Here is a 7,498-nt window from a genome sequence, read left to right as displayed (position 1 = left end):
AGTCTGGAGTGGAGTCTCTGGGAGGTAATGAAAAAACAATTATTCTTTGTTCAAATCCCACAAACTGCCTTCTTTCTTAACACATTTTCACAGAATTTCTTGAATAGATGTTTCCTTGTTTGCTGTTTACCTTTAGAATGTTTTCCAGGGGCTCTCAGTCATTGTTTTTCTGGAATTTATATCAGTTTCACTGGGAAGTTGGTCAACAGAGCTTCTCACGCTGTCAAATGGAAGTTGGCTCCCATGAACACTACTTTCATACTGTTTTCTCTCTCTTTCACAGACACATTTCTCATTCTTGCCCCACACCTTTTTTTTTTTTTTTTGTGCCTCTTTACCTATTTCAGTTTCTGTTAAATTTAAAAAAGAAGGATCTCTTCTGGATTCTATCTATCCTTCTGTAAAACACAGTACTCAAATAGGTATTATAATGGTAGTTGAGAGTTTCTGTACCTTGTTACTATATCAAATTTAGGAAAAGAATAGAGAAAGAAAAAGAGAGAGAGAAATGAAGAATGACCAAATGCCAGTGGGAATGTAACCAGGAAGTGGAGAGTCCTTGTTTCTTGCTTTTTTGGAGGAAAGAATTCAGCCAAGAGACACACAAAGAGAGTTAGGCCATAGCGAAGTTTATCTAAAGTGAAAGACACCCCGAAAGCAAAGTCAGAGCAGCTACTCGAGATTGAGACAGACCTGACAGTGAAAGTGGAAGTATGCTCTGAAAGCTGGATGAGAGAAAGCTGCTACAGAATGAAACAGAGTTGACTGGCACTGGGGAGCCCCCTTTATGGAAGTCTTACATGAATATTCATAAAGGGGTGTGAAGAGGTATTACTATTAATAGTATGCATTTTGAGGTGGTCTCCTGGGCATGCATTCACTGTGGCTGTACATGCTAGTACAAATGTTGCATGTCTCATTAATATGTCCCTGAGACTGAATATCTCATTAATCTCCATCCAGGGGTCTGTGTTTTTTATTTTAATAAGCAAAAGGTTACCTATCAGGCAAGCAAAGTCAAAGCATTCATGCTTACTACTAGGGAAGTTTCCTACTGAAGTTATTTCCTTCAGGGGCCAGATAAGTCTCAGAGCGAGATAGGCCTAACTGCAAGTCCACATGTGGCTATTTTTGTTTGTTTGTTTTTGTTTTTGTTTTTGCTAGTGGAGCAGTAATTACTAGTGGGGCAAGGTTTCCAGGGCTTCCTTCCTCTGGATTTCCCTTTCTTGTTCACGCCTAGCTATCTGCTTACTTTAGCAGGAAGCCTGGCTCAGGTTTCAGTTAGAGCAATGTGTCTACTGTCTCTTGTCTTCTTAATTCACAGCTTCTAGACACAGGTCAATGTCAGCCTTTTATTATCCCTCAGTTTAATAAAAGTGAGATATTTACTCTATGCCTTAGTTTTATAAAGGTTTTCTGGTTCTATTTGTCCACTTTATGTAGGACATTTAATTGCTTTTATTGAACAGAATGAAATTGTTTGAGTTTCACTGTTAAGATTCCAGGCCCAGAGCCAAAGAGTCCTGTAAATTCTACCCCATGTAACATTCTTCTTCTGTTTCATTAGAGTCATTTGTCCAGCTGTTAGTAAAATGACATGGCTTTTCTTTCACTCATTTATATATTTTTGACATTCTATCTATAGAGGAGATAAAAAAAATGAACACATAAATACTTTTACGCAGAGAAATTTTAATTTCACCCTTTCTTCAATCATATATGATTACATCATTTAAAAAAAACTATAGCAATTTTGACAAACTTTATGTACAGAAGAATAATGTGCCCTTGTTCTCTGTGGGATTTTATAAAACCTTTTTATTCTTGTTGCTTATACAATTTTTCTTTATTTTCCATAAATTTCCTCCAATATGGAAAATTCATTGACAACTTTTCTAGCATATTATCTACAGTGTTTTCTAGTCCACATCAAATTCAATGCTCTTCATCTCTTCAGTTCTTTCACCCACCTTCCTTATTTTACTCATCCACCAGTACCATTAAAATGGCCATTCATTTCTGCCATCAAAATATTTTTATTGTCTTAATTCAATCAAACTTTCGTGACTAAATCATTTACTCTTTCATGCATGTATTTTTTTTCTCTACTCCAAGGTTTTACCCATCAGTTTCTTTTAGGGATTATTTTCCTGAATAACTTCTTTTTTTTAAAGACAGGATCTCGCTTTGTCACTCAGGTAGGCTGGACCACAGTGGCATAATCACAGCTCACCACAGCCTCTAACTTCTAGGCTCAAGCAATCTCCCAAACTCGCCTCCCAAGTACCCAAGACTAAAAGCACACCCCACCATGTCCAGCTAATTTGTATTTTTTTTGTACAGATGAAGTCTCACTGTGTTGCTCAGGCTGGGCTTGAACTCCTGGACTCAAGTGTTCTCCCACCTTGACCTCCCAAAGCACTAGGATTACAGGCATGAGCCACCACATCTAGCCTTGCAACTTCTACATTTCCACTTCTCCACAAACCAAGCATAGAGATATACAAAATAATGAAGAATTTTATTCCAATTCTGAAATGCCTATGTCCATTATTTTCACTATATTTCCAATGACACTGTCTTTTTTTTTCTTTTAGACAGAGTCTTGCTCTACTCTTCAGGCTGGAGTGCAGTGGCTCAAATACAGCTCACTGTAGCGTCAACCTGCTGGGCTCAAGCAATCTTCCCACTTCAGCCTCCCAAATAGCTGGGGCCCACAGGTATGTATCATCATGCCCAGATGATTTTTTTAAATTTTTTTGGAGAGATGAGGGTCTCCTGATGTTGTCCAGGCTGGGACACTTAAAACAGGGATTATTTCCTCTCACTTTCCCAAACTGACTAATCAAGACCTTGCCTTTCTTCTGTCTAAATATTGTATGCAGTTTTAATAAAGTGGTCTAATTTATAACCATACAAAGCATGACAATATTAACTTAAAATTTAAATGCTTAACACAGATTATCTTTTTAAAAAATTTGTTTTCATTTTTAAACAATTTTATTTTTTAGAGTGGTTTTAGGTTCACAGCCAAATTAAGCAGCAGATATAGAGATTCCACATATACCCTCTTTCTTGATACATATATAGCTTCCTCAATATTGTCAACATCCTCCATCACAGTGAGACATTTGTTACAACTGATGAACCCTCATTGGTATACTGTTATACAAATCCATAGTTTACATTAGAGTTCACTCTGGTTGTCTTACATTCTATGGGTTTGGAAAAATTTGTAATGACATGTGTCTGCCATCTATAGTATCATACAGAATTTTCACTGCCTTAAAAATCATCTGATTGTCTTTTTTAAATCTCCCTAAAATGCCATGAGATGAATGGCATTATTAAGCCCATTTTTAAAATGAGGAAATTAAGACTTACAAAGAATAAGTAACTTGCCTAAAGTCATAGAGATTAATTGTCAAGGTCTTTGAGTATTCTTATGATAGCCTTCACATTAGTTATGTCCCTCAGCCACAATTAAATGTTTACATTTGTGTGCGTTTGTAAATTTGCTTTGTGTTTATTTTAATCCTTGATTACATTTTCTGTTGTGAAATACACGTGACATACATTCTATTCTTTAAGAGTACGCATTTGATGAAGGCAGAAATCATGTACTCTTAATAGTTACTTTTTGCTCAGAGTTTCTCAGTAAGAATTCATTTAGCTAAAGAGTATTCAGCATTAAAGACATTGTAAGACTGCTAATTAGCTGCTTAAATATTTTCTAGTCTCCTGGTAGTTGAATAACTTTTTCTTCAATTGGGATAGACATTAACTTCATCATTTTGACCTCTTTCTAATTTGTATAATTATTAACTTCCTGCCCAAATCTAGCCTGAAGTTTTAGTTGGTTAAATATGTTTCCTAGTTTTCCCCAATTAAAGGCTGTTAAATAAGAATACCTGAAATAAACAGTAATGGGTAAAGTGATATGCAAGGACTGATGTCTTCACTCCTATAATCCTTATGTGGATTTTAAAAATATTTATTATTAGGAAAATTATCTAACTTCATTTTCTCTATCTGCTTATCAATTTCTGTATCTGAGTACAGGCATATTTTATATAATAAAATTTCTTTTCTGGAGCTAAATAATGTGTACACATGGATATAGAGAGTAGAATAATAGACACTGGAGACTCAGAGGGTTGGAAGGTAGGCATTGAGGAATGAAAAGTTAATTAACAGGGATACAATGTACACTAATTGGGTGATGGCTTCACTAAAAGCCAAGATTTCACCATTATGCAGGCTATCCATGTAATAAAATTGTACTTGTACCACCTATATTTGTAAAAAATTATCCACACACCTACCTAACTTCCCTATCTAGTTAACCTTTTATCTCCTTATTGATATATATATTTAAATATATATTATATATATATATATATATCCATATATCTGCTAAGTGATTTATCTATCTACCTGTTTTTCTAGATGTAGGCATAACATGGCATAAATTTTACTTGACCATGAAAATGAAGGAGAAAGAAAGGAAAAATTATCTGGGAAAAATTCAGACTGCAGAAGTGGCCTGCCTGAAAAGTCACATCAACAGGCAAAAATAAAACAACCTGGAAAAAAAAAACCTCAGGCTGCACCTGCACCCACATAAGCAAACAGTGTCCAGCACGGAAGCTCTTTATTCCTTGTATAATTAGTGATCTCCCAGGAAAAAGTTTCCTCCTCTTTTCAGGCATATACATGGTGGGAACTTGCACAGGGAGGTGGGGGCTTACCTAAAACAAACCCACAGTTATACAAACAAGAGAAACAGCACTTTGTGCTTGGCTAGAGACATACCCACAGCTGGATAAGAGAAGGGGAGTTACACAGACAGCTTTACTAATAAAAAAGTTACTTGAACAGTTACAGGGAGGGAGCAGTTTCTTATAAAAAGCTTTTGAATTCAGCTGTAACCCAGCAATCCAAGTGGACTCCCCTTTCTGCTGCGGAGAGCTTTCTTTTTTCACTTACTAAACTTTTGCTCCAACCCCACCTTTGTGTTTGCATTCCTTAATTTTCTTGGACCTAAGATAAAGAACCCAGGGTCCTAGTTCAAACAACAAGAAACTGCTACATTAAGGGGCCTTGGCAAAACTGCAACAAAAATATAAACAAAATACATTATAAAACTTATTTTTTCTCAATTAAGTTACAATGGCAAAGAGCCCCTATGAAATTCATTATGAAGTCAGCCTCCAAGGTCAAGAGAGCTTCCATAAAGTATACTGCACTCTAGAATATTTGGTTAGTGCTCTCTTGATCTTGTTTCAAGCAGTATTCATTTGATAGACTGTCTGAGCCTACCTGATTCTTAAAGGTTAGAAGCGCCATAACTTGTGTTCATAGGGAGTGGAATTTTTGCTGAGACCTAAAGCCCCGAGTCTAGGTTCATACTTCCCTGGAAGGCATATAACTCTGTGGCCTTTTTTTCTCTATAAAAATCTGCATGGCAGTTGCACTTACGTTACTCATGCCTAAGAATATCCACAAAATTTGGGGAAAATTCCAAATTCTTGCTATATTCTTAGAAAACTTTTATATTTAAGGCAGTTTCTACATTTAGTGTTCATATTACTTTTCTCTATCATTTTCCAATCTGGAAGAATTCTACATAGTTTTTCTTCAAAGGACTTGGAAACATAATGTTGACCTCTTTCCTGAGGGTAGTGGTAGGAGTAGTCGAATGTGTTAGAGGAACCCCTGCTTACCAGGCCTCTGGTTTAATAGAACATGATTACAGTGACTCCATCTTTAAGTGAGTGGCTGAGCACTTACAAAGCACCTATAAGGTTGATACTTGTGGTCTGAAAATAGCCACATGATAAGCTGACCACCAATTATAACTGTAGAGTATTTATGGCCTTACAGTACATCCCCAACCAAGCCTGTAGAATGTCCAGTTGTCCTAAAAGCACAGCCTACTTTACTCAGAGATAACATTAATGAGCAAGCCTAAGTTGAAGGACTAGTGGTTATTGACAGCTTCAATAGCCCCTACCTTTATTAAGCACATCTGCGCATTCCATGTTTGGCTATAGCTCCTTATAATTTTTTATAAGTAGAGACACTAACAAAGGGTGGTGCATTCCTCCTCCTGCTTTCTGAGGACACCCTACTCTGTATCAGAGTAGTTTCTATTGAACTTACTTCTTTTTCTATGCTCTTTGATTTGCCTTGAAAGCTTTCCCAAGCAAGATCCAAGAACCCTCTCTTGAGGTCTGGATTGGAACCTCTTTTTCTGGCAATAAATGGGAAGCTCAGATAAGTTAGCTTTTTTCTTATGGAGTCTCCCCCTCATATGTGTATATATATATAGATATTTTAATCAGTAATTGTTTTGCAGTCATAAAATGCATCCATAAAGTGTCTACTGTGTTGTGTGTATGTGCTATGGTTTTAATATGTCCCTTCAAGGTTTATTGGTTGAAAACCTGATCCCCAGTGCAACAGTGTTGAGAGGCAGAATCCCTAAGAGGTGATTAACTCATGAGTGCTATGACCTCATGAATGGATTCATGCTATTATTGTGGGAATGAGTTCATTATTGTGAGAATGGGTTCTTTATAAAAGAATAAATTTGGCCCACTTACCTCTGTCTCTCTCATCTATGTGTTACCTTCTGTCTTTTTATGATGCATCAACAAGGCATCAACAGATATAACGCCTTGATCTAGGATTTTCCAACATCCAAACTCTGAGCCAAATAAATTTATGTTCTTTATAAATGTCCCAGCCTGTGGTATTCTGTTAGCAGTACAGAATATTAAGTTGGTGCAAAAGTAATTGCAGTTTTTGTCATTAAAATTAATGAGCACATATAAGTGTGTTACATATAGAGCTCTGATGGAAATCTGCATAGCCTAGACACAGAAGGCACTGTGTAGGTACAGAAGACACACAGTGGACACAGAAGTGTTCAGAAGATCACTTGGTAATTGAGGTAAAAAGAGTAAATATATATCTAGAGTACTGGGTCATTGTGGACAAGGGGTGAAGAATGTGGTGGAGGTGGTTAGTAAAAAGCAGAGCAAGATGTTAAATGGTATAATAGAAAAGATGGTGGCTGAAGTTTTGGTGCTATAGATAGCAGTTTAAAAATAGTGGCAATAAGAACATTATAGACTGGATTGTGCCTCCCCAACCTTGTTATGTTGAAGCCCAAACCTGTTGTTTGACTGGCTTTGGAGATAGAGCCTCTCAAGAGATTATTAAGGATAAATGAAATTTTAAAAGTGGGCCCTAATCTGTCCTGTAAAAAGAGGAACTCACAAGACTCCTCTCTGTCTTTGCACAGAGGAAAGGCTGTGTGGAACAACAGCCAGATGGTGGCTGTTGCAAGCTGAGAAGAGAGGCTTCATCAGAAACAAGCCCTCCCAGCAACTTGGCCTTGGACTTCTGGCCTCCAGAACTGTGAGAAAATAAATGTTTCTTGTTTAAGCCAGTCATCTGTGGTATCTTGTTACGGCAGCTTAAGCAGACT

General features: G+C 36.8%; 1 annotated feature.

Annotated features, from left to right (window-relative positions):
* Nucleotides 579-628: an enhancer, noted in NCBI's record as "active region_27587". NCBI's record gives its function as "activates an Ori minimal core promoter by ATAC-STARR-seq in GM12878 lymphoblastoid cells {active_cell/tissue: GM12878}" and the evidence as "EXISTENCE:reporter gene assay evidence [ECO:0000049][PMID:35858748]".

Source organism: Homo sapiens, chromosome 8 (assembly GCF_000001405.40).
Source record: "Homo sapiens chromosome 8, GRCh38.p14 Primary Assembly".
In the NCBI taxonomy this organism is placed as follows: Eukaryota; Metazoa; Chordata; class Mammalia; order Primates; family Hominidae; genus Homo; species Homo sapiens.
The sequence above is the reverse complement of the archived record's forward strand: the minus strand, read 5'-3'. Positions and strand labels throughout refer to the sequence as shown.